This window comes from Homo sapiens, chromosome 17 (genome assembly GCF_000001405.40).
Source record: "Homo sapiens chromosome 17, GRCh38.p14 Primary Assembly".
Classification (NCBI taxonomy): Eukaryota; Metazoa; Chordata; class Mammalia; order Primates; family Hominidae; genus Homo; species Homo sapiens.
In genome coordinates, this window is record NC_000017.11 from 58,135,600 (window position 1) to 58,162,412 (window position 26,813).

At 42.0% G+C, this 26,813-nt stretch overlaps 1 protein-coding gene and 1 pseudogene across 3 annotated transcripts, besides 1 other annotated feature; both read left to right on the forward strand.

Moving 5' to 3' along the window:
• Positions 6,378 to 6,878: an enhancer, noted in NCBI's record as "H3K27ac hESC enhancer chr17:56219338-56219838 (GRCh37/hg19 assembly coordinates)". NCBI's record gives its function as "activates a minimal SCP1, AML or CMV promoter by ChIP-STARR-seq in naive H9 embryonic stem cells {active_cell/tissue: H9 hESC(naive)}" and the evidence as "EXISTENCE:reporter gene assay evidence [ECO:0000049][PMID:30033119]".
• Positions 12,785 to 23,986, forward strand: OR4D1 (olfactory receptor family 4 subfamily D member 1). 2 transcript variants are annotated; one of them, NM_001386095.1, is made up of 4 exons: positions 12,785 to 12,985; positions 13,830 to 14,197; positions 18,258 to 18,364; positions 19,536 to 23,986. In NM_001386095.1, exon 4 carries the CDS (start codon positions 19,555 to 19,557, stop codon positions 20,485 to 20,487), a length of 933 nt encoding a protein of 310 aa, NP_001373024.1. In that variant the 5' UTR covers positions 12,785 to 12,985; positions 13,830 to 14,197; positions 18,258 to 18,364; positions 19,536 to 19,554; the 3' UTR covers positions 20,488 to 23,986. The 2 variants fall into 2 exon arrangements, with proteins under 2 accessions (NP_001373024.1, NP_036506.1); NM_012374.2 differs by lacking the exon at positions 18,258 to 18,364.
• Positions 21,360 to 23,521, forward strand: MSX2P1 (msh homeobox 2 pseudogene 1; annotated as a pseudogene). Its single transcript, NR_002307.1, has one exon. The product of NR_002307.1 is annotated as a msh homeobox 2 pseudogene 1 (transcript).
• Positions 23,987 to 26,813: the final 2,827 nt, after the last annotated feature.

Genomic DNA, 26,813 nt, shown 5'->3' on the forward strand with positions numbered 1-26,813 from the left:
AGGAAGATTGCTTGAGCCAAGGAGGTTGAGGCTGCAATAAGCCATGATCATGCCACTGCATTCCTGCCTGGGCAACAAGAGTGATACTGTCTACAAAAAAAAGAGTGAGATAAAAGTAAGTCTGATTCCATAAGCAGAGACGTCTCTGGAAGAGAATGTATGGGAAGGAGACAGGAGAGGCACCTAACCAAAGGCAGATACAAGAGCTTTGAGAACCTGTTAAATAGCCTCAAGGTTAAAGTTGGAATCAGCTGAGCCTTTGAATAAGGAAAAGTAATCTGGAACAATTACCCAGGGAAGCTGAGAGACCACAGAGCTCTTGAGATCCTGTTAACTCCCACTTACGCCAGCAAGAAGAGGGTGACAAAGTAGGAAAGGGAAGGGAACACACACACACACGTGCATGCAAGCACACACTCACAGAGGGGAGACCTGGAGAGATGAGGAGATGTTGAGTTCATATCACCAGGAGGCCCAGAAGCATCATCTCCCAGGTGAGAGGCAGTGGCATGATCATAGCTTACTACAGCCTCAAACTCCTGGACTCAAGCGATCTTCCCACCTCAGCCGCCTGAATAGCTGAGGCTACAGGTGCTCACCACCACACTGGTTAATTTTTTAATTTTTTGAGGAGATGGGGTCTTAACATGTTGCTCAGGCTGGTCTCAAAGTTCTGGGCTTAAGCTACCCTTCTGCCTCTGCCTTCCAACGTGATGAGATTACAGGTGTAAGCCACTGCTCCTGGCCCAGTTCTGCTGATCTGTCTTCGAGTTCACTGACTCTTCCTCTGTCATCCCCATTTTGCTATTAAACCTCTTCAGTAAATTTTTAATTTCCATTATTGTATTTTTCAGTTCTAAAATCTCTACCTGGTTTATTTTTGCAGCTTTCATTTCTTTGCTGAGAGCTGCTATCTTTCAATGTTTCAAGGGTGTTTAGTTCTGCCTCATCCAGCATGGTTGTAATAGCTACTACTAAGCCTTTGGTAATTTTAAAATCAGCATTATGTCAGGTTTTTTTGATTGTCTTTTCTCTTACAATTTGTTGGAGTTTTCCTGTTTTTCTCTTTTAATGTTGCATAATTTTGGATTGTGTCTTGGAATATTATATTGTGAGACTTTGAATCCTGTCAGTGTCCTCTGGAGTGCTGATTTTGTTTGTTTGTTTTAGCTGTCAGTTAACCCTGTTAAATCCTGACCTGCCTTGAGTGAGGTGTGTGGTTCCGACGTCCACACTTTCTGAAGCCTTTGCAATGCCGCTCGGGTCTGCATCATGCGTGTGCCACCTAGGGGCCAGTCTGGGACCCAGGTGGTGGTTTACACCATATTTCAGTTCCCAAAGCCTTCGTGATGTTGCTTCAAGTCATTTCTACCCATGCACGGATTTAAGGACCCCTTTCTATGGCTGCCTCCTTTCTATGCTTTACTCCATACAGTCTGGCTCCTAGGGGCCGCTTTTTCTGGTGCTCTGGCTACAAAGCTGGGGTTTTAGCTTCCCTTTACTGTCACAAACTTTTCATGACTGGGTCTGTCTCAGGGCAAATTGGTGAAAGTAAAGAGAGAGAAAATATATTATGGACTTCCCCCACCCCCCACAGGGTCTCAGCAGGTAGCTATGGAAGGAAAAACAAAAATCAGAGAACTCACCACCATATTGGTTACATTAAAGTGTTGACTTCCTTCCTCAAACTGCTGTTACTTTCCAGAGTTCTTTAGTTTTTATTTACAATAGGTGGGAGAAATTGGGTGGAATCTTAGAACCCCTAGGTTACAGCATTGATTTGTTTGGTGGTTATACCTTTCTGGTGTGATCTCATTGTCCTTGTGTCTTAGTCCATTTGGGCTGCTATAACAAAGCACCTTAGATTGGGTAATTTAAAACGACATAAATTTATTGGCCATGGTTCTGGAGGCTGGGAAACAGAGACTCTCTGAAAGAAAATGAAAGGTAAGAGACACGGTGAAAGGGTAAGACAGCTCTCTGGGGCCTCTTTTATAAGGGCATCGCTATGGTTTGAATGCGTCCCCTCCAAAATTCAGGTGTTGCCAACGTGACAGTATAAAAAGATAGGACCTTTAAGAGGTGGTTAGGCCATGAGAGCGCCTCCTTCGTGAATGGGCTCAGGTGTCCTTATAAAGGGGCTTGATAGGGGAAATTGATTTCTTTCTTACCTTCTGCCTTCCATCATGAGAGGACACAGTAAGAAGGCTCTCACCAGATGCTGGTGCCTTGATCTGGGACTTCTCAGCCTCCAGAACTGTGAGAATTAAATTTCTGTGTTTTTAAAAATAAACTATCCTATCTCAGGTATTCTGTTATAGCAGCATAAAATGAATTAAGAGAGGTATTAATTTCACTCATGGAGGTGGAGCGCTGATGACCTAATCACATTCCAAAAGCCCCATCTTCTAACACCATCAACTTTGTGATTAGGTTTCGACATATGAATTTAGGGGGAACACAAACATTCAGACCACAGTATCTTCAGAAATTATTCTGCTCTTTAGTCTTTTAGTCCTTGTAACAACTTTGTACAAAATTTTCCCTCCATATTTTTTTGCGGCTCATTTTCATGTGAAAGTAGTTTTACTAAACTTTTAGAAGGGGACATGATTCACACATTTCCCTCTTCAGTTGTTTTTATGTAGTATTCAAAAATATGACTGGGTGCTGTCCCATGTGCCCGTAGTCCTAGCTACTGGGAAGGCTTAGACAGGAGGATTGCTTGAACCCAGGAGTTTGAGACTAGCCTGGGCAACATACAGCAAGACCCCATCTCAAACAAAACAAAAAAGTATGGTGACTTGCTTTCTGATATTTTTCTAGCTCTATCCGCCTCACCATTTTTAATGTATACCTTCTATTTGTACCTTCTTTGTCTTGATAGTCCGTCTCTGAATCAATTTTAATCCTCCCTCTTCAGTGCGGAGTTTGTGCTGAAAGGAGGCTCTGGCTTATCAGTTTTGAGAATTTCTGTGACTTAGACTCCTCCAGTCCTTCAGTTTCAACACCTGGCTACTCATCCTCCACTGAATTTGGAAGAACCAGTCCCTGTTTCAGCTACCATTTTTGAATTGGCCTGCCATGCGTTTCAGAGGATACCTGTTGGCTATTTTTTATTTTCTTCTTTTTGGATGCGTCAGGCACCCTGTTGCTTCCCGCTGCTTCTTCCACAGATGTTGGTACCACCGAGTAAGATTTTGTGCATGGATCTTCTCCACTTTCTTGTTGGGGCCCATGGGGTTACCTTGTTACTTAGTTTTATTGTAAATGCTGCCCATATATTTTAATTTTGCTATTTACTCCTCTGCTGGTTTTTTCTATTTTAATTCTTTAGTTCTAGAGATTGTGGAATTGACGTTGAGAAAGCTTAAGTGGTTTTCTAAAGGTTATACAGTTTTTTGTTTTTGTTTTTGTTTTTGTTTTGTTTTGAGACAGACTCCTGCCCTGTCTCCCAGGCTGGAGTGCAGTGGCATGATCTTGGCTCACTGCAACCTCCACCTCCTAGGTTCAAGCAATTCTCATGCCTCAGCCTCCCAAGTAGCTGGGACTACAGGTGCCTGCCACCATGCCTGACTAATTTTCTGTATTTTTAGGAGAAACGGGATTTCGCCATAGTGCCCAGGCTGGTCTCGAACTCCTGAGCTCAGGCAATCTGCCTGCCTCAGCCTCCCAAAGTGCTAGGATTACAAACGTGAACAACCGCACCCAGCCAGTCATACTGTTTATTTGTAGTGGAGCTGATACTTGCACACATACCTTCTGAATCCTGGTCCAGTGTCTGTTGTTGTTGTTGTTGTTGTTGCTGTTGTTAATTGAAATTTTTATTGAAATAATTATAGATTGACCTGCTGTTGTAAGACATAATAGAGACTTCTTGTATACTTTGCCTAATTTTCTCAAATGGTAACTATCTTAGTTCATTTTCCGTTGCTTGTGACAGAATACCCAAAACTGGATAATTCATAAAGAAAAGGATTTTCTTACAGATAGGAAAACTTGAGAAGTCTAAGGTTGAGAGGCCATATCTGGTGAGAGCCTTCTTGCTGTTGGGGACTCTGAGGAGTCCTGAGGTGGCACAGGGTATCACATGGTAAGGGGACTGAGTATGCTAGCCTGCTAGGTCAGGTCTCTCTTCTTCTTTTTTTAAAGCCACCAGTTCTCTTCCCATGATAACCCATTAATCCACTCGCCTATTAATCCTTGAATGGATTAATCCATTCATGGGGGCATAATTCTCATGATCCAATCACCTTTTAAAGGCCCAACCTTTTAATACTGCCACATTGGGGATTAAGTTTCTAACACATGAAATTAGGGGAACATGTTAAAACCATAGCCGTGATATTTTATTAAATTGCAGTGTAAGATTACACCCAGAACATTGCTGCTTTGCTATTTTAACATGGGAATTCTGGGATAATAAGAGACTATACTGATGCCACCACTATTATGTCCCTAAAATAATCCCAGGGAAATTTGATGCAGAAGGATAAACAATAAAATGAATCCCAGTAAAGGCTGAGAACTCCAAAGATAACGACAGGCTTTTAGGACATGCAGAAGAATCAAACCACCTTTAAGGACAAAAACAAGACTGGATTTATGCCTCCAACAATAACATTTAATTTTTTTTTTTTTTTTTTTTTTTTTGCAAAAAGGTCTTGCTCTGTCACCCAGGCTGGAGTGCAGTCACGCAATCATAGTTCACTGCAGCCTTGAACTCTTGGGCTCAAGTGACCCTCCCTCTTCAGCCTCCTGAGTAGCTGGAACTAAAGAAGCACTCCAGCACAACTGGCTAAGATTTTTTATTTTGTAGAGATGGCAGTGGCGGGCGGGGGGGGTCTCACTATGTTGCCCAGGCTGGTCTTGAACTCCTGGCCTCAAGCGATCCTTCCCACCTCTGCCTCCCAAAGTGTAGGGATTACATGACTGGGCCACTATGCCTGGCCAACCATTAATATTATAAGACAATGAGACAATATCTATATTGTCCTCAGAAAAAGAGGGTGTTATACTATGCTTACATCCAGGCAAACTACCATTCAAAAATAAAGGAAACAGGTATTTTAAAATATGCAAGGACGTAGAGAATATATTCCCAGTCAACTCCTTTGAAGAAAATACAGGGAACAAACTTCAGTCTATCAAAAGATAAATAAGAGACTATGCCAAAAGTATTGATGCTGAGCATTAAACCTATTTAAAGTAGACTTAAAGTCAAACACGTGAAGAAATTTTGGTTTCCAAATATAATGTAAATGTTACAAACCAGAAAGAGGTAGAATTAGTAAAAGTTGGAAGTAGAAAAGAAAATGAGAAGTAATCTAAGCATACTAATTTCTTCCTTTTGCATTGTTTAAAGCTAATGAATCAAGTAATGGAGGTATGAGTTTAACTTACATTTTATAAATAATTAATAGTACCACTAGACCAACTAACAAAAGTTGTACAAACAACTAAAGTTAGGGAATAAAACAGAGGAGAGGGAAGGGAGCTGAGAAAGGGAACATTCTAATTTTTTAATATTTTAATATGGATAGTCAATAGATACTGTCTCAGTTGATAATACATATATCTGCTTATAAGTAGATAAGAAAACATAAAAAGAAAAATTTTTTGTAAAAAATAAAATGCAAAAGAATCGTTAAAACTAGAGAATTTTCATTAAATAAGATGATAGAAGTAAAACCAGTTATAAGAGAAAAATAGACAAATCTACAATCATGGTAGGAAATTAAAAGAGGTCTCTTTCAGCTACTGATAGGATGAGAGAAATAAACAAACAAGAAGGATATGAAAGATTTGAGCAATACAATTAACAAATTTGACCTAATTAGCATTTATAGAACACTGCATCCAGACATCAAAATCATTTTCAAATGCACAAGATACATTTACCAAAATAGACAGGCCAGAAATCAAATTTCAACAAATTCAAAAACTGAAATCATACCAAGTGTGTCCTTTGACCACAGTGGAATTAATTAGAAATCTAAAACATAAAGATAGCTAGTGGGATGACAACATGGAAGATAACTGAAGCAACTATTTTAGAACTCTGAAGTCTAGTCAAACACTTGCAGAATTCTGGAAAGTGCTTTATTAAAAAAAAAGAATTAGTCCCTCTCCCTCTCCCTCTCCCTCTCCCATGGTCTCCCTCTCCCTCTCTTTCCACGGTCTCCCTCCCCCTCCCTCTTCCTCTCCCTCTCCCTCTCCCTCTCCCTCTCCCCACCGTCTCCCTCTCCCTCTCTTTCCACGGTCTCCCTCTGATGCCGAGCCGAAGCTGGACTGTACTGCTGCCATCTCGGCTCACTGCAACCTCCCTGCCTGATTCTCCTGCCTCAGCCTGCCTAGTGCCTGCGATTGCAGGCGCGCGCCGCCACGCGTAACTGGTTTTCGTGTTTTTCTGGTGGAGATGGGGTTTCGCTGTGTTGGCTGGGCTGGTCTCCAGCTCCTAACCGCGAGTGATCCACCAGCCTCGGCCTCCCGAGGTGCCGGGATTGCAGACGGAGTCTCGTTCACTCAGTGCTCAATGGTGCCCAGGCTGGAGTGCAGAGGCGTGATCTCGGCTCACTACAACCTCCACCTCCCAGCAGCCTGCCTTGGCCTCCCAAAGTGCCGAGATTGCAGCCTCTGCCCGGCCGCCACCCCATCTGGGAAGTGAGGAGCGTCTCTGCCTGGCCGCCCATCGTCTGGGATGTGAGGAGCCCCTCTGCCTGGTTGCCCAGTCTGGAAAGTGAGGAGCGTCTCTGCCTGGCCGCCATCCCATCTAAGAAGTGAGGAGCATCTCTGCCCGGCCGCCCATCGTCTGAGATGTGGGGAGCGCCTCTGCCCCGCCGCCCCGTCTGGGATGTGAGGAGCACCTCTGCCCGGCTGCGACCCCGTCTGGGAGGTGAGGAGCGTCTCTGCCCGGCCGCGACCCCATCTGGGAGGTGAAGAGCGTCTCTGCCCGGCCGCCCCGTCTGAGAAGTGAGGAGCCCCTCCGCCTGGCAGCCACCCCGTCTGGGAAGTGAGGAGCGTCTCCGCTCGGCAGCCACCCCGTCCGGGAGGGAGGTGGGGGTCAGCCCCCCGCCCGGCCAGCCGCCCCATCTGGGAGGGAGGTGGGGGGGGTCAGCCCCCCGCCTGGCCGGCCGCCCCATCCTGGGGGGAGGTGGGGGGTCAGCCCCCTGCCCCGCTGGCAGCCCCGTCCGGGAGGTGAGGGGCGCCTCTGCCCAGCCGCCCCTACTGGGAAGTGAAGAGCCCCTCTGCCCGGCCAGCCGCCCCGTCCGGGAGGGAGGTGGGGGGGGGTCAGCCCCCCACCCTGCCAGCCACCACGTCCGGGAGGTGAGGGGCTCCTCTGCCCGGCCACCCCTGCTGGGAAGTGAGGAGCCCCTCTGCCCGGCCACCACCCTGTCTGGGAGGTGTACCCAACAGCTCATTGAGAACAGGCCATGATGACAATGGCGGTTTTGTGGAATAGAAAGGGGGGAAAGGTGGGGAAAAGATTGAGAAATCGGATAGTTGCCGTGTCTGTGTAGAAAGAAGTAGACATGGGAGACTTTTCATTTTGTTCTGTACTAAGAAAAATTCTTCTGCCTTGGGATCCTGTTGATCTGTGACCTTACCCCCAACCCTGTGCTCTCTGAAACATGTGCTGTGTCCACTCAGGGTTAAATGGTTTAAGGGCAGTGCAAGATGTGCTTTGTTAAACAGATGCTTGAAGGCAGCATGCTTCTTAAGAGTCATCACCACTCCCTAATCTCAAGTACCCACGGACACAAACACTGCGGAAGGCCGCAGGGTCCTCTGCCTAGGAAAACCAGAGACCTTTGTTCACTTGTTTATCTGCTGACCTTCCCTCCACTATTGTCCTATGACCCTGCCAAATCCCCCTCTGCGAGAAACACCCAAGAATGATCAATTAAAAAAAAATAATAAAATAAATAAATAAAACAATTAAAAATAAAATTAAATAGTCAAAAAAAAAGAGTTAGATAAATTTTAGTAAATTTTTTGGTTTTTAATGAATGGCTACCCTCACCATCCCTACCCTGATGGCAGGCAGCTATGGGGATGGCAGCCTGCACTGTTGGTGTGACTTGCTTTTGTCAGGGTGGGTAATAAAAACATTGCTCTCCAGAACTTGGGGTTGTACATTTTGATTGCTGTTTTTTATCACTGAGGGGACAGAACAAAGGCTGGCCATTGTTTTAATCCCCATGGGCTGAAGTCGCTTCTCTAGTGACACTGGTTGGAGGGAATGGAAAAACAGACACTGTTTTTTTTTTTTTTCTCCTTTTCTTATCTTATTGGATCCAGGCATTTAAGGAAATCTCTGTAAGGTCACTGGTTGACTATGGAAATAATGGGACAGAGACTTCAGTGACCAATAAAGAGGCAAAAATAATAAAAATGAACCAGCCAGGCACAGCACAAGACAAGGAATATGGTCTTTGCAAGATAGTTTGGAAAAATTACCAAAGAAATGGATGACTGTGGCCTTCATCAAGTAACAACAGCAATCTCTGCAAATGGATTTCCAGCATTACCACATACAATATTCAAAATGTCCAGTTATCAACAAAAATTTACAAAGCATACAAGAAAATAGGAAAATATGGCTCATTTAGAGGGGAAAAACAGAAATCGACAGAAATCATCCTTGAGGGAGCCCAGACATTGAGTTTTCTAGACAAAGACTTCAAATCAATTGTCTTAAACATGCTCAAATAAGCAGAAGGAAACCATGGAAATGAACTACGTGAAATCAGAGGAACAAATATGAACAAGTAGGTAATACCAATAAAGAGGCAGAAATAATCAAAATGAGCCAGCCAGGCACAGTGGCTCATGCTTGTAATCCCAGCACTTTGGAAGGTTGAGGCGGGAGGATTGCTTGAGGCCAGGATTTGAGACCAGCCTGGGCAACATAGCAAGACCCCCTCTTTACAAAAATTTAAAATTTAGCCAGGCATGATGGCACACACCTATAGTTCTTGTTATTGAGGAAAGAGATGAAAAGATCACTTGAACCCAGGAGTTTGAGGTTATAGGTTAGAGTGAGCTATGATTGCACCACTGTACTCCTGCTTGGGTAACAGAGTGAGACCCTGTCTCACAAAAAAAAGGAACAAAATAGAAAATCTGGAGCTGAAAAACATAATAGCTGAAATTAAATATGTATTACAGAGGTTCAATAGGATATTTGATCAGGCAGAAGAAAGAATTAGTGAACTCGAAGATAGGACAAATGATATTACCCAGTCTGAGGAGGAGACAAAATGAAGAAAAATGAACAAAGCCCAGAGACCTATGGAGAGTCACCAGGCACACTAACATACACATTCTGAGAGTCCCAGAAGAAGAAGAGAAAAAAGGGGCAAAAAAATTTTTTGAAGAAATAGTGGCCAAAAACTTCCCAAATTTGATAAAAGACATGAATCTACACATCCAAGATTAATGAATTCCAAATAGCATAAACTCAGAGATCCACACTAGGATCACTATAATCAAATTCTCAAAAGACAAAGGGAGAATCTTGAAAGGAGCCAGAGAGAAGTGACTCATCACATTCAAGGGATTCTCAATAGAATTAACATCCAGTTTCTCATGAGAAATCATGGAGGCCAAAATGCAGTGGGATGATATATTTAAAGTGCTGAAAGAAAAAAAAAAACTGTCAACCAAGAATTCTATCTTTCAAAAATGAAAAAGTAAGAAACATATTCTGAGACAGACAAAAGCAAGAGAAGTTAATTGCTAATAGACCTGCCCTAGGAGAAGTGCTAAAGGGAGCCTTACAGGCTGAAACAAAAGGATAATAGATGGTAATTCAAAGCCACACAAAGTGATCACACCAGTGATCTTTATATCTTTGTGTGTCTTTGAGTTATGTAAATATAAGTCTTTTATTTATACAGGTAAATATAAATGCTAGTAGTATTGTATTTTGGTATATAAGTCTTCTTTTTGTTTCCTATGTGGTTTAAAAGACAAATGCATAAAATAATAATTATAAGTTTATGTTAAAATGCACACATATATAAAAAGGAATTTATGAGAGTAACAACATAAAGGTGGAGGGAAGGAATGAAATATAGGCAGTGTTAATGTATATTATTGAAGCTAAGTTGTTATCATACTAGATTCAGATTAGCTTCAAATTAGATTGTCATAAATTTAAGGTGTTAACTGTAGTCCCCATGGTAACCACTAAGAAAATAACTTAAACAAATACAGAGAAGGAAAAAAGAGAAAATCAAAATACTACACTTGAATAAAGAAAGCCAAAACACCTGAATGGAAGTTTTGCCTTAAATAAAGGCAATATTGCAGAATTGAGGAGGAAAAATGTAAGACATATAGCAAACAAATAGCATAGCACAATGGCAGAAGCAAGTCCTTTATTATCAGTAATCACTTGAAATACAAATGGATTAAGCTTGTCAAAAGACAGAGATTGAAAGACTGTATTAAAAAACAACACAATCCAATTATATGCTGCTTACAAGAGACTTATTTTGGCTCCAAAGACAAAAATAGGTTTAAAATAAAAGGATGGAAAGAGATATTCTGTGCAAATAGTAGCCAAAAGAAAACTGGAGCGGGATCAATAAGAAAATACGGGACTTGAAAAATATTATAAACTGACTAGACTTAAAAGAGATTTACAGAACACCCAAAGACAACAGAATGTACATCATTCTCAAGTGCACATGAAACAATCTTCAGGATTGACTATACGTTAGGCCATAAAAAATTTTCAATAAATATTCAAAGATTTAAATTATACAAAGTATCTTCTCTGACTACAATGGAATGAAGGAATCTACAACAAAGGAAAAACTTGAAATTTTGCAAATATGTGGAGGTTAAACAACATACTCTCCAACAACAAATGGGCCAAAGAATAAATCAGCAGTGAAATCAGAAAATACTTTGAAGTGAATGCAAACAAAAGCACAACATACGCAGGGTGCAGTGAAAGCAATACTTAGAATTTTATAGCTGTAAAATCCTACATAAAAAAGGAAAAACGTCTCAAATCAATTATCTAACTTTACACTTTAAGGAACTAAAAAAAGAAGAGCAAACTAAAACCAAAGCCAACAGAAGGAAAAAAACAATACAGATTAGAGCAGAGATAAATGAAGTAGAGAATAGAAAAACAATAGATACAATCAATGTAACCAAAGTTAGTTCTTGAAAAGATAAACAAAATTTATAAATGTTTAGCTAAACTAAGAAAAAAAGAGAAGAGGCAAATAAATAAAATCAGAAACATTACTACCAACCTTACAAAAATTAATAGGATTGTAAGAGAGTACTATGAGCACTATATGCCAACAAATTGGCTAATTTAGATTAAATGGAAAAATTCCTGGAAACACAAATTACCAAAACTGATTTCAAAAGAAATAGAAAGTCTCAACAGACCTATAACAAGTAAATGTTGAATCAGTGTTTAAAAAACCTCCCAACCAAGAAAAGTCCAGTACCAGATGGCTTTAGTGGTAAATTCTGCCAAACATTTAAAGGAGTATGAACACCAATACTATGCAAGTTCTTGTAAAAAAAAAAAAAAAAAACAGAAGCAAAGGGAACACTTTTTAACACATTCTATGAGGCCAGCATTATCTTGATACCAAAGCCAGACAAAGATACAAGAAAAGAACTACAGACCATATTCTTTATAAATACAAATGCGAAAATTATGAGATGCCACTTCACTCTCACTATTCTAAGTAAGATGGTTATTCCTCAAAAGATTAGGCACAGTTGCTATAAAATCCAGCAATTCCACATCTAGCTATATACCAAAGAAAAATGAAAGAATACATCCACACAAAATCCTATACATGAATATTCCTAGCAGCTTTATTCATAATAGCTAAAAAGTGGAAAGAACTCAAATGTCCGAGAGCTGACTGACTGATTTACAAAAGTGGTATATCCATATGATGTAATATTATCCAGTCATAAAAAGGAATGACTGGTACATGACTAGTACTGGTACATGCTACAGTACAGATGAAACTTAAAAACATAAGTGAAAGAAGCAGGACACAAAAGCCATATATCATCATATGTGTGTTATATGATTCAATTTTTAGGAAATGTCCAGAACAGGCAAATCCAGAGACAAAAAGTAGATTAGTGGTTTCCAGAGACTGAGGAGAGAACAGAATGGGCAGTGACTGCTAAAGGATATGAGATTTCTTTTCAGAACGAAGAAAATGTTCTGGAATTAGGTAGTGGTGATGGTTACACAAGTTTGTGAATATACTAAAAACCACTGAATGGTTAAAATCATTTAATAATTGTGAAGCTTATGGTAGTTGAATTATATCTTGAGGATGAACTTAGCCAATTTACATTGAGAGTTCACTTTGGCTGAGAGAAGAGCAGATCAGAGATTGGGATAAGAGATGGTACCTTAATGACTGTACATATGAAAAAGGCTTTGGAGTTTATAGAGGGGGTGACCTGGACTGTGTCCTAGGACATAACTCACTTTTCCAACTACAGTGGTGATAGGAGAGGGTGGAGGCCTTGCACTGCCCATGGTGCTGAGGGATTTGGTTCTTGTAAACCTCCCTGGGAATTCACGTCTCTTTAGGGTTCTTATCCTTCTTCATCTTGGTCCTTTGATCAGTAACTCTGAAATGTTGGCCCCAAGACAGTCTCCCAATAATTATGTGCATCTGATGCAACATCTCACATACTTTTTAATAACTCCCATTGCTCATTTGCCCTTAGCAGCCTGAGCCAGGCTTTATCTTATGAATTAAGCCTAAGTTTTACTCCCCAAGGAATTTCCCTTTCCTTAAGGCCAATCCCATATGTGTTCCTTGTCTGAGAGAGGCCAGGAGAAGAATGGAGCTACAGGAGAAGAGTGACCTGGGAGATGGGAGGCTCTAAGTCCTCTTGGCCACTGTGGGCTGGAGGAAGGTGATGGCCTCATTGTCCTTCCCATGGACAAATCAGCACGACAAAGCCTATCGTGAGACAAGCATGGGGTGGAGGGAAGGCATGGGGGAAGTCATCAGGCATTAATGCAAGGGGAACGGGATTTGGGAAACATTGATTTTATCTAACATTAAGACTTTTGTCTGTATTGGCTTATGTGCTGGGTGGAATTTAGAACAGAGGGTGGGAGGGAGAGCGGAATATAGACATACACTGTTATCTCCCCCGCCTCCCACATACATACTACAGCTTCTTCCCACACCTAGGAGAAAACACAAACAGGTCTTGCTCTGACACTTTCCACCCTCTACTGTTCCTTTTTAAGTCTCATCTTCCTCCATCTTCCCCCTTCTCCTGCCTGCTTCTCTCACTCACTCCAGATTTTCTTCCCTTCTTTATTGCTGTCCCTCCATCTTATCCTCTCTTTTCTTAAATCTTGTGTTTAACAATACCTGTTAATGCTCCCTGGATGACAACAGACTAGATTCTACCCCATTTTGGGAACCCACTTATTCCTTCTCCCCTCGTCTCTCCTAGTCCTGTGTGGGCTGATTTTCTAAGAGCAAAGACAGATGGGAGAGAAGATTGAGTAACAACAGAAGAGGTCTAGAATCCTCCCCTTTCCCCATACAGATCCATGTCCCTCCCTATGTCTATTTTCTTTCTTGTCTAGAATCCCTCTAAATCTATTTTCTATGCATGTAGGGGGAGGAAGCATTTGCAAAGATTCTGATGGGTTTGTGGAAAGAATCGGGCCATGCTAAGATGATGCTTCTAGGATTGTAAATCTGGTGATGCTGGGAATTAGGATTCTTGGATTCTCTTTGAGGTCCTATAAACTGCATTCTATCCAGTGGCTACTCTCTCTTTCTTCCCAGCTCTCACGGCAGTCTGGCCCATCCCAGCACCCTGTCCTCCATTAAGCAATCACACATTCTTTTGGGAACCAACTATGAGAAAGGGTCTGTGTGTACCACGTACTGTGTAATACTTAACATATTGGATTTGCACTGAAATTACAACACATGTGAGGAACAGAGCCATCCTCATGAAAAAATACCAAGGCATAGCAACATTATGGAAGAGCTAATTACTCTTGAACCTTGAAGGAAGGGTAGAATTCAGACAGGTGAACAGGACAGAAAAGCAATTCAGATGCGGCACTGACTGGATGAAGGCACTGAGACCTGAGGGACCGAAGAAGAGATAAGTTTGGCTGAAGCTGAATCTTCTTAGAGGAGAGCAGGTAAGAGGAGAATAGTCATTAGGAGTGCAAATTCTGGGTCAATCAGACCTGGCTCAGAATCCCAGCTCTGCTTCTTCTTCTCCATGTGATCTGGGAGAAATTAGTTAACCTATTCAAGCCACAGTTTACTTATCTGTAAAGTGGAGATAATTTATGGTACTTACTATACTTATAAACATGGGAATAATATGTGAGAATTAAAAAAGATAATGCCAGCAAAATATTTAGTATAGTGTCTATCACATAGTAAGCATTCAAAAAATGTTTACTACGATGACAATTACTGCTATTACAACAATAAATGCTTACTACCACAGTTATTACCATTACTACAATTACAATAAATGCTTACTACTACTACTATTAAGTGGCAGATGGACCTGGAAAGAAAGGTAGGAGCCTGTTTGTGTGGAAGCCCCTGAAATCCTAACTAAGTACAAATTCCTTCCTGTAGACAATAAAGAGCCATGGAAAATTTTTGAAAACCTTTTGAAATAGAGGGGGAAGATGTTGTTGAAGAAGTTTATGTATGTACTATGTTGCACAGTGTGGATTAAAATGGACCAAAACCTGGAGGCAAGAACCCACTTGGAGGCCCACAGCAATAAGCCAGATAGGAAAAATAATTTGGCAGTAATTTCAAAGGAAGAACGAATATGCCTTGGTGATAATACATGTGGAGTTCAAGGGAGAAGTCTAGCTGGGTGAGGGGATAACAGACAGAAATAGGAGAGCCAGAGAGGTATTTGGGTTTAGAGTAAAGAAGTAGCAAGAATGATTTCATAATAATGACAGGCAGCTCACAGTGCCAGATGGAGCTGAAAGAACCCACGGTTACTGACGGGCTTTAGCCATTACAGTGACACTCAAACTGAAGAACTGGTTATGAGGAGGGGAGGAATCCAGCGGTTCTGCAACAGTCCTGGGAATCACGGTCTCCTTCTCTCCTCTCTTTTACAGAAGAGCTTTCCCTTTTCCCACACTGCGTCTCCTCCTCTTTTTCTCTCTCTCCCTTTTCCTCAGTGTTCTGAGGTTTCTCCTTCCCCGAACCCTTCCCCTTGCACACCTGCGGTTGTCTTTCGCCCCGACAGTGCTCATGCTAAGAAGTTTTTCAGCTCTTACCTTTTCTTTTTCTTGGTCTCATTATAATACTTCTTTTGCTTTTTTTGATTAAAATTTTATGACAATTTATAAATTACAAGAAATAAAAAAAATTTTGTAAAGAAGAGAAAATATATGTTCCATCAATCCCATCAACCAGAGATAACCACTATTCACACTGGTAACATTTTGGTTTTCCATGTCCATTTTTTCCCTTTATATTTATACTATAGTTTATCAAAATATTTTGTAATTCTCTCTTTAAAACAACAATACTTTGAGTCTTAAAACCCCTCATGGATAATTTTAGAGATAATCCTGTCTATATTTGTCTGTAAAGGTTGATGAAGATCTTTTTTTTCTTCAACTTTTATTTTAAGTTCAGGGGTACATGTGCAGGATGTGCAGGTTTGTTACATAGGTAAACATGTGCCATGGTGGTTTGCTGCACAGGTCATCCCATCACCTAAGTATTAAGCCCAGCATCCATTAGCTATTCCTCCTGATGCTCTCCCTCCCCTCGCCTCCCCCCTGACGGGCCCCAGTGTGTGTTTTTTCCCCTCACGTGTCCGTGTGTTCTCATCGTTCAGCTCCCACTTGTAAGTGAGAACACTCTGTGTTTGGTTTTCTGTTCCTGTGTTAGTTTGCTGAGGATAATGGCTTCCAGCTCCAACCAGGTCCCCGCAAAGGACATGATCAATAGAGCTATCTTTTCACATGTATCCATTCAATTCCCTTATAAGAGCATCAGTGCAATCACTGCTGCCCCTCCCATGGTAAAATCAAATCCCATAGAGTTAAACATCCTTTTAGGATATATTTATTCTTAACTAGTATTTCATCCCATGGAGGAACCATATTTTATTTAACCAATATCTTATAGTCATGCATTTATGTTGTTTCTAGTTTATCAATATTATAATAATGTGATGAATATCCTTAAGCATACATTTTTAAAAATTAGTTTTCATTGTTTCTTTAAAACAAATCCCTAAGACAGAAATTACTGGGTCAGGGAGTATAAATAATTTATGGATTTGGCACATATTTTCAAATTGTCTTCTAGAAAGATTGTACTACCAGTGATTTATCTATTGCTCTAAATTCTCAATAATGCTGAGTATTACAAGTTTTTAAAAGATCAATGTTAACATAATTTTTAAAAATTGTTCCTTATTATATTTTATCTTTAACTTTTTGGATAATTAGTAAATTCTAGATACATTTGAATTATTATTATATTATTACAGGTGCTTGCCACCACGCCTAGCTAATTTTTGTATTTTCAGTAGAGATGGGGTTTCACCACGTTGGCCAGGCTGCTCTCGAACTCCTGACCTCAGGTGATCTGGCCGCCTCGGCCTCTCAAAATGCCGGGATTAACGCATGAGCCACTGCACGCAGCCATGTTATTTTATTTTAAAATCCCTTCCTTCCATCATGATTTATACATAGTTCATTCAAAGTAAAAATACCCAAATAATACAAAGACATCAGGATCAAAACTAGAGTATCTCTGAGGCTTTTCATCTTATGTTTTATCATGGAAATTTGTATATATTTACAAAGTAGAGAGAATCACCATTTTCAGAATTACCACTATTACCAACAGTTTGCCAGTCTTGCTTCACATACTCCTCTCACCTTTAATAAAGTATTTTAAGGCAAGACCAAGACATCTTTTCTTTACATCCATAAAAACTTCAGTGTTCATCTCTGACTGATAAAAGCATATAAAAATGTATGGGGGTGGTAGGCTGGGTGCAGTGGCTCACACCTGTGATCCCAGCACTTTGGGAGGCAGAAGCAGGTGGATTGCTTGAGCTCAGGAGTTTGAAACCAGCAGGGGCAACATGACAGACCCTGTCTCTACTAAAAATACAAAAAAATAGCCAGGCATGGTGAAGTGTGCTTGTGGTCCCAGCTACTTAGGGGGCTGAGGTGGGAGGATTGCTTGAGACTGGCTCCTGGAGGTTGTAGTGAACTGAGATTGCACCACTGCAGGCCAGCCTTGGGGACAGAGCGAGACCCTGTCTGAAAAAAAGAAAAAGTATGGTGGTTGTAATCTTAATAGGGATAAAGATCTTAAGATAAAATAATGAAGTATGCTGTTAACATTTCAGGAATCAGTAATCAGGTGTGAGAGTTGGAGTTGGGGATGAAGGATTAGGGTCAGGGGCTTTCCCAGAGAGGCCAAACCATGCCATTTAAATGGCTGCCCACCCAGTCTAACCTTGACACCATGTGGTGGAGAAAGGACACAAAATCAGAGACCAAAATGTGTTACCCTCTGTTGTGGTTGCTGCGACAATGCTCCAGGAAGGGTGTGTACTACCCTTGCCTGTCTCAGCTTCCTGCCCTGGTGCACTGGGATAAGCCCATTCTAACCCTGTTTTACCACATCATTTCCTGCTGAAGAGCTTGCCGGGGTTCTCAGTTGCCTATGGGGACATTTTTCAAACAGTCCTAGGCTGGGAGTTGGTGAAGCCACAGAACAAACACAGCACATCTTCCTGGAATATCATTTTTGCACAAATATCTGAGGATAAATGTGAATTTTATGTGAAGAATAATATGACAATATTTTGAGTACTGAAATCCCTCATAAGTTTTGAGATAATCCTGTTACATTTGTCCATAGAGGTTTATAGAGATCTTTCCAAATATATTCATCCAATTCCCACGTAACAGCATCAGTGTAATTGCTGCTACCCTACCCATGTGCCAGGTGGGAATCAGGGAAAATAGACCTTTTTATGTTCTATTGTCTGTACAGGATGGGGCCTTGGGACAAATTTTTCTGAACAATTAGAGAAAATACTTGTGGAAAGGTATAATCCAAAAGAATGGGTTTTAACACCAAGAACTCAGTTTATTTTTCAAGCTAATGTCTTCTAAAACTTTCACTTACTAAAGAATCATGTCTCCCTTCATGCTCTAATTTTCTTTTTCTTTTTAGAGATAAGATCAGCTGGAGTGCAGTGGCCATAATAGCTCACTGCAGCCTTGATCTCCTGGGCTCAAGCAATCCTTCCACCTCAGCCTCCTGAATAACTGAGACTACAGGTATGCACTACCATGCCCAGGTAACTTTTAAAATTTTTGTAGAGATGTGATCTCACTATGTTGCCCAGGCTTGTCTCAAACTCCTGGCCTCAAGTGATCCTCCCACCTCAGCCTCCCAAATGGCTGGGGATTACAGCTGCATGCCATCACACCTGGGTAATTTTTAAATTTTTTTTATAGAGGTAGGGGTCTAGCTATGTTGCCCAGGCTGGTCTCAAACTCCTGGCCTCAAGTGATCCTCTTGCCTTGGCTTCCCAAAGTAGTGGGATTATAGGCATGAGCCACTGCATCCAGCCAACCCTCTTTTTTTTTTTTTTTTTTTTAAACAACACTTTGGTCTTGTCAAAGTTTTAAGACCATAATAGTTACATTTTAAAAGCTCTCCCAAAGATTGTCGAGGGATATGTGTATAATAGAAAATTCGCATAAATTTTAGAAGTTAAAACATGAGAGTTCAAGGAGATAGTGCATTTGTCCTGGGCTTCTTTGAATTGCCCCCACAGATGGCCCATGGCAACAAATGCTACTACAGAAGTACTTACAGGGAAACATTTGAGAAACACTAATCATCCCAGCTTCGCTACAACCAAGATTATCTGCTTATTTTTCTTCACATTTACCTCTGATTTTGTACATAACAATTTTCTTCTAATGCACACCTCTCTTTCTCCAGCAATAAACATCCTCTCAAATTCCCACCATAAAGAAGCATCTGTTTGTTTATCTAAAATCATTATTCTCAACTGTATATCCTATCAAGATTTATGCACATAGGTTGATGGTGTTTGTGGTCACAGGTACTTGCTGATATGTTTATTTATTCACTGATTGATTCAACTAGCTTTATGGAACCTATGGTTCACAAGGCACTATGTTGGGCATAGCAGGTATGAAAAAGAATCAGACATGAAACCTGTGGTTGAGGACAGCATGGCCGAAGGGAAAAAAGACCCAGATTCTTGTAATATACTGTAGGGCGTGGTCAGGGAAGTAAGTCTCTGGAACCCTTGAAAACATATGGAACTTCCTCCCCGTGGAGGGCTTTCCTAAGCTACATCTCGGATTGACACTCAACAACTCAACTTAATCAACTCAATCCTGACTGTCCAAGGAAAATGATTGAATTTTCATTTTTTTTGTTTGTTTGTTTGTTTCAATGGTTTCTCTGTAGGAACGTGGGGGAAGATCCTATGGAACCACAGAACACCACACAGGTATCAATGTTTGTCCTCTTAGGGTTTTCACAGACCCAAGAGCTCCAGAAATTCCTGTTCCTTCTGTTCCTGTTAGTCTATGTTACCACCATTGTGGGAAACCTCCTTATCATGGTCACAGTGACTTTTGACTGCCGGCTCCACACACCCATGTATTTTCTGCTCCGAAATCTAGCTCTCATAGACCTCTGCTATTCCACAGTCACCTCTCCAAAGATGCTGGTGGACTTCCTCCATGAGACCAAGACGATCTCCTACCAGGGCTGCATGGCCCAGATCTTCTTCTTCCACCTTTTGGGAGGTGGGACTGTCTTTTTTCTCTCAGTCATGGCCTATGACCGCTACATAGCCATCTCCCAGCCCCTCCGGTATGTCACCATCATGAACACTCAATTGTGTGTGGGCCTGGTAGTAGCCGCCTGGGTGGGGGGCTTTGTCCACTCCATTGTCCAACTGGCTCTGATACTTCCACTGCCCTTCTGTGGCCCCAATATCCTAGATAACTTCTACTGTGATGTTCCCCAAGTACTGAGACTTGCCTGCACTGATACCTCCCTCCTGGAGTTCCTCATGATCTCCAACAGTGGGCTGCTAGTTATCATCTGGTTCCTCCTCCTTCTGATCTCTTATACTGTCATCCTGGTGATGCTGAGGTCCCACTCGGGAAAGGCAAGGAGGAAGGCAGCTTCCACCTGCACCACCCACATCATCGTGGTGTCCATGATCTTCATTCCCTGTATCTATATCTATACCTGGCCCTTCACCCCATTCCTCATGGACAAGGCTGTGTCCATCAGCTACACAGTCATGACCCCCATGCTCAACCCCATGATCTACACCCTGAGAAACCAGGACATGAAAGCAGCCATGAGGAGATTAGGCAAGTGCCTAGTAATTTGCAGGGAGTAAACTTTAAGTAAGTTGACTTTAAATGACAAATTTCTCTGGATTTTTATTTTCCCACATGAAAAATGGAGGAAAGTCTTTATAAAGCATAACAAATCAGATTACACTTATATTTCTTGAGGACCTAGTGCTGTGTCAAGTACTGTGTTAAGCACTTCCACGCTTTTTTTCTTTTTTTTTTTTTTTAGATGGAGCCTTGCTCTGTCACCCAGGCTGGAGTGCAGTGGTGCAGTCTAGGCTCACTGCAACCTCCACCTCCCGGGTTCAATGATTCTCCTGCCTCAGCCTCCCGCGCAGCTGGGATTACAGGCACCCACCACCACGCCCGGCTAATTTTTGTATTCTTAGTAGAGATGGGGTTTCACTACAATGACCAGGCTGGTCTCGAACTCCTGACCTAGGTGATCCACCCGCCTTGGCCTCCCAAAGTGCTGGGATTACAGGCGTGAGCCACAGCGCCCGGCCTAACACTTCCACAGTTTTATCTCATTACTTTTCATGAAACCGACAGTAGATATATTATTATTGTTGTTAAACAGTTTTACAAATGAGAAAACGCAGAGAGAAGTGACTTGCTCAAAGGTGAACAGTAAGTGAGTGGCAGAGCTTGCCCTGGAACCTGGTTCTTCTTGACTCCAAGTTTAGAGGCAAGAAATAGGAATGGGATTTGAAACTCAAGAGTTTCCTGCGACCACAAGAGAAAACCTAGAGAGGTCTTCGTCTATAGAGAAGTATCTCTGATGAATGGTCAACTGCTTCATCTTAACTCTGGGACAGTTACATTCTTTTCTGCTCCCCACCTCCCTGCCTCATTCCCCACTGTGGAATTTAGAAAGTTATCTCGCCCTCCCTCCTCCCCCACAAAAAAAGTTTGAGTCGCCGCTGCGGGTTGCTAGCGGAGTCGCGCGTCGGGAGCTACGTAGGGCAGGGAAGGCATGGCTTCTGTTTTCGTCCAATGAGAAGGGGCCAGCGGTGGCGGTCGGGCCAGGTCCGGGGCCTGGGGACGCCGAGGCGGCCGCGGAGGAGCGCCGCGTCAAGGTCTCCAGCCTGCCCTACAGTGTGGATGCGCTCGTGTCGGACAAGAAGCCGCCCAAGGAGGCATCCCCAGTGCCGGCCAAAAGCGCCTCTTCCGGGGCCACCCTGCGGCTACTGCTGCTGCCGGGGCACGGCGCTCGGGAAGCGCACAGCCCCGGGCCGCTGATCAAGCCCTTCGAGACCGCCTCGGTCAAGTGGGAAAACTCCCTAAGACGGAGCGGCGTGGATGCAGGAACCCTGCTGATAATTCGCCGCCGCCAAGACACGTGAGCCCTACCACCTGCACCCTGAGAAAACACAAGACCAATCCGAAGCCGCGCACAGCCTTTACCACGTCCCAGCTCCTCGCTCTGGAGGGCAAGTTGCTCCAGAAACAGTACCTCTCCATTGCAGAGGGTGCGGACTTCTCCAGCTCTCCGAACCTCACGGAGACTCAGGTCAAAATCTTGTTCCAGAACCGAAGGGCCAAGACGAAAAGACTGCAGGAGTCAGAACTGGAAAAGCTGAAAATGGCTGCAAAACCTATGCTACCCTCCAGCTTCAGTCTCCCTTTCCCCATCAGCTCGCCCCTGCAGGCAGCGTCCATATACGCAGCATCCTACCCGTTCCATAGACCTGTGCTTCCCATCCCGCCCGTGGGACTCTATGCCACGCCAGTGGGATATGGCATGTACCACCTGTCCTAAGGAAGACCAGATCAATAGACTCCATGATGGATGTTTGTTTCAAAGGGTTTCCTCTCCCTCTCCAAGAAGGCAGGACCAGCCAATACTCCTGTTCTGCAAACCCTGAGTGCACCACCCTAAGCGGCTAGGCCGGCAGGGCCACACGACACAGCTGAAGTTTGTTCTTTAGGCGGAGGCACCAAGCCTTGTTTTCTTGGTGTAATCTTCCAGGTGCCCCCTTCTCCTTTCACAAAGATTGGCTCTGATGGTTTTTATGTATAAATATATATATAATAAAATATAATACATTTGTATACAGTAGATGTAAAAATTCAAATTATTTTAAAAGGCAAAATTTATATACATATGTGCTTTTTTCCTATATGTCACCTTCTTAAAGAGACTGTGTAAGTCCATTTGTTGTGTTTTCTTAAAGAGGGAGACAAATTATTTGCAAAACTTGCTAAAGTCAATGATTTTGATGGGATGATTGACTTCTGCTTATGGAAAACAAATATTAGAATTGGACATAATGCACATAGAAAGTATTAGATATGGAGAGGTTTTTCAAAGTGAAGGGGACACATCACATTTCTGCATTTTACTTGCATTAAAAGAAACCTTTTTATATACTACCATATTTGTTCCTATCTCTCCCCACGCCCACCCCCCCCCCACACACACATTTTTACAGTTTTACCTTTTTGAAGAATTTTTTTTTTGTAAGACCAATAACCGGGATGAGAAGAATCCTGAGAATGCCTGGAGGTGAGGTAGAAAATTAGAAATACTTCCTAATTCTTCTCAAGGCTGTTGCTTTACTTCATTTCAGATAATTGGAGAGTAAAAAGTTAAAGCCTGTTGGGAGGAGTTGATGGTTTCTGAGAAATACTAGGTACTTTCATCCTCACAGATTGCAAAGATTATTTGGGTGGGGGGGTACAGTAATTTTCTGCTTAAAAAATGAGTACCTTGTAACCATTACCTGTATGCTAAATATTCTTGAACAATTGGTAGATCCAGAAAGAAAAAAAATTATGCTTTCTCTGTGTGTGTACCTGCTGTATATGCTAAACTTATTAGAAAATTTTATATACTTTTTAACATGTCCAGGGCAGAAGATAAAGCCATGTTTTGACTTGGTGAAAATGGAGTTGCCAAACAGCCCATTAAGCTCCCTGGTATTTCACCTTCCTCTCCATCTCTCCCATCCCTCCAGTATGCCTTTACCCCTTTGAAAGGGTGCCTTGTACAATTGTATATATTTTATTGAAGAGTTATTATATCTTATTCTGAATTAAATTAAACATGTTTTATTGCAAAAAAAAGAAGAGAAAGTTATCTCACTTTTAGCATTGTCTAAATAGTTCCCCAAAAGGCATTTGCCCTTTGTTTTTGTTCCATCTTTACTAAATACTCTTTGGATAATCTTCACATTGTGCTACTTAGCTGAAATGGCTTAAATATGGCCCCTTCAAAATTCAGGTATTGAAATTTAATGTTCAGTGTGATGGTGTTAAGAGGCGAAGCCTTTAAGAGGTGATTAGGCCATGAGGATTCCTCCCTTATTAATGGGATTAAGGCCTTTATAAAAGAGACTTCATGCAGCATTAGGCTCGCTAGCCCTTTGGTCTTCTGCCATATGAGGACACAGCATTCCTCCCCTCTGGAGGATGCAGCAACAAGGTGCCATCTTGGAAGCAGAGAATAGCCCTCACCAGACAACCAAACCTGTTGGAACCTTAATCTTGGACTGTCCAGCCTCCAGAACTGCAAAAGAATAAATTTCTGTTCTTTACAAATCATGCAGTCTGTGGTGTTTCACTATAATCATACAAACAGACTAAGACATTACCCAACACAATCTTTCCCTCATTTGTATAGTATGGCTGAGAGGAGGATGGCATAACATAATTGAGGAACCAAGGCCAGAGAGGCCAGGGCCATGCTTACCAGTGTTCCAAATCTAGGGTAGTGAATTCATTTCCAAGGCTACTACTTCATGTGTGTTTCTGCTTTTCTCTTTAACTGGAATGAGAGCTTCTTGAGGGCAGGCGCCATGCATTATTCATTTTTAAATCCTCCCAGCTCCTGAACAGTACCTGACAGAGAGAGGAAGCATTTTTACTTTTATCTTTTTTTAACATTTTTCCAGCTTCCTATAGTTTCCCTCTGTCAATTTCTGTATATTTATTTCTTCCATCTTCCTTGGGGTATGCATCATTTTGTAAAAGTCTCAGGCAATGTATAATATGGACCCAAAGTTAAGAAGATGATGCAGAAGCTTTTTGTTCCCCCTTCTCTCCCAGCAACCATCCCATCCAAGAAATGAAAGTCAGACACCAGGCACAGTGGCTCACGCCTGTAATCCCAGCACTTTGGGAGGCCGAGGTGGGCGGATCATTTGAGGTCAGGAGTTTGGGACCAGCCTGACCAACATGGTGAAACCCCATCTCTACTAAAAATACAAAACATTAGCCAGGCGTGGTGGTGGATGCCTGTAATCCCAGCTACTCGGGAGGCTGAGGCAGGAGAATCGCTTGAACCCAGGAAGCGGAGGTTGCAGTGAGCCGAGATCGTGCCACTGCACTCCAGCCTGGGCAACAAGAGTGAAACTCCGCCTCAAAAAAAAAAAAAAAAAGAAGATGAAGAAAGAAAAAAAAAAAGAAATGGAAGTCAGAGGCTCTTCCTGGTTTCTCTTGAAGCCATCATGGCAACTCTGAACTTATCCTTTCTCCACTTCTTCCTCCTTGTTTCCGTTTCACACATTTCTCCACATTTACACTCAACCTTTGGAAATGAGGAAGGGTAAAATGGACTCTCTGTCTTATTTGATCTCTGTGGCCCCTTAGAACAGCATTTTCCTCTTTCACATTAAAATCCTTTAAATATCAAATGATGCTTTTCACATCCTCCAATTTGTCTCTTCTCCACGTGCAACATCTGCCTTCCTATAGTTGTTCCTCTTGTGACAGGTTTGCTGATTCTACCAGCCCGGGCATCTCTTCTGTATTTACTCTCATATGGCAACATCCCTCTTAAGGTGTGATGCTCACCATATGATACTGCTGCACTGGGCTGTAATTTCTTTGAGAAAAGATGATTTTCTCCTCTGAAATATATGTCCATAACAATGCTTTTAGCTGCAAGTAGCAGAATAATCAAGTGACAGTGGCTTCAATAAAGAAGAAAGTATTATCTCATTTAAACAGAAGACTAAAGGATAAGCAATTCCAGAGTTGGTTAATTCAGTAATTTAAACATTTTAGGGCTCTGGGTTGGCTGCTCTGCAATTCCTTGTCTTTCCTCTCATGGTAGCCATACGGCTGTCAAAGCTCCAGGCATCACACCTTTATTTCAAGTGATTCAGCAAGAAGCATAAGAAAATGCATCCATGTGCTTTTTTTTTTTCTTTTTACCAGGGGAGAAAAGAACCACACCAGCAGAATTATCGTATGACCCAGTTGACCAGAACTGCATCATATGGTCACCCCAGTCTGCAAAAAAGAATGGAAGGGTGAATGTCTGGTTTCTTCAGCCAGGAAAAAGAGTACTGGGAATGGCAACCAACAGTGTCTGCCACGTATGTCTAAGCCCCTGGCAGCAAGAAGACAGACAATTGGATTGAGTGAGAAATCTTGTTGATAAGAAAACTCTATCATGGGCAGTGATTATAAAATCAAATGCCTAGAGAAGCTGACAATAAGTTAAGTGGGCCCAGTGAACACTAAGGGGAACTGGAGGTGCTCATCCAGATAAAAGAGGAAATCCTACTTCAAGTCTTCTCTTCGACCCTAATGCAGAATTCCAGTACTTAAGTCTGTACAAAAAAATCGGAAGGATTTTACTTAGAGATACAAAACAGCCCCAAATAAATAGTCCCAGGCTGTTTTCTCCAGTTAACAAAACAGGTGACATGATAATCCTAAGAGAGGCCTTCAAGTTCTCAAGCCCTACTCATGCACATAGTGCTTCCAATCAGCATCTTAGTGGTTTGATTTTAAATACCAGTGGTTAGCTGGAGACCACTAGGCAGATGAAGAAAATTTCCAATATAGAAGGCAGACACAAAAGCAGAACAAAACGGAAAATTAGAGAAGTCCAAGTAAACAGAAGCAATTCAAGTAATAGAAGAAAACTTTCTAAGTTTTTATAAATTTAACTTTATATTTTGAGGTAACTGCAGATTTACTTGAAGTTGTAAGAAATAATAGAGATCTCATGTACACTTTACCCAGATTCTTTCAATGGTAACTGCCATATGCTAAATGTTTATGTCTCCCCAAAACTCACGTGTTGAAACCTAATCCCCAGTGGAATGGTATTTGGAGGTGGGGCCTTTGGTAGACGATTAGGTCATGAGGCAGGGGCCTTATGAATGGGATTAGTGCCCTTATAAAAGAGTCCCTGGAGAGCTGCCTTGCTCCTTTGCCATGTGAGGACAGTGAGAAGACAGCTGTCCATAAACTAGAAAGTGGACCTTGATGAGACACCGAATCTGCCAGCATCTTGTCTTGGACTTCCAAGTCTTCAAAACTGAGAAATAAATTTCTGTTGTGTATAAGCCACCCAGTCTATGGCGTGCTGTTATAGCAGTGCAAACAGGCTAAGGCAGAAATAGCTTGCAAA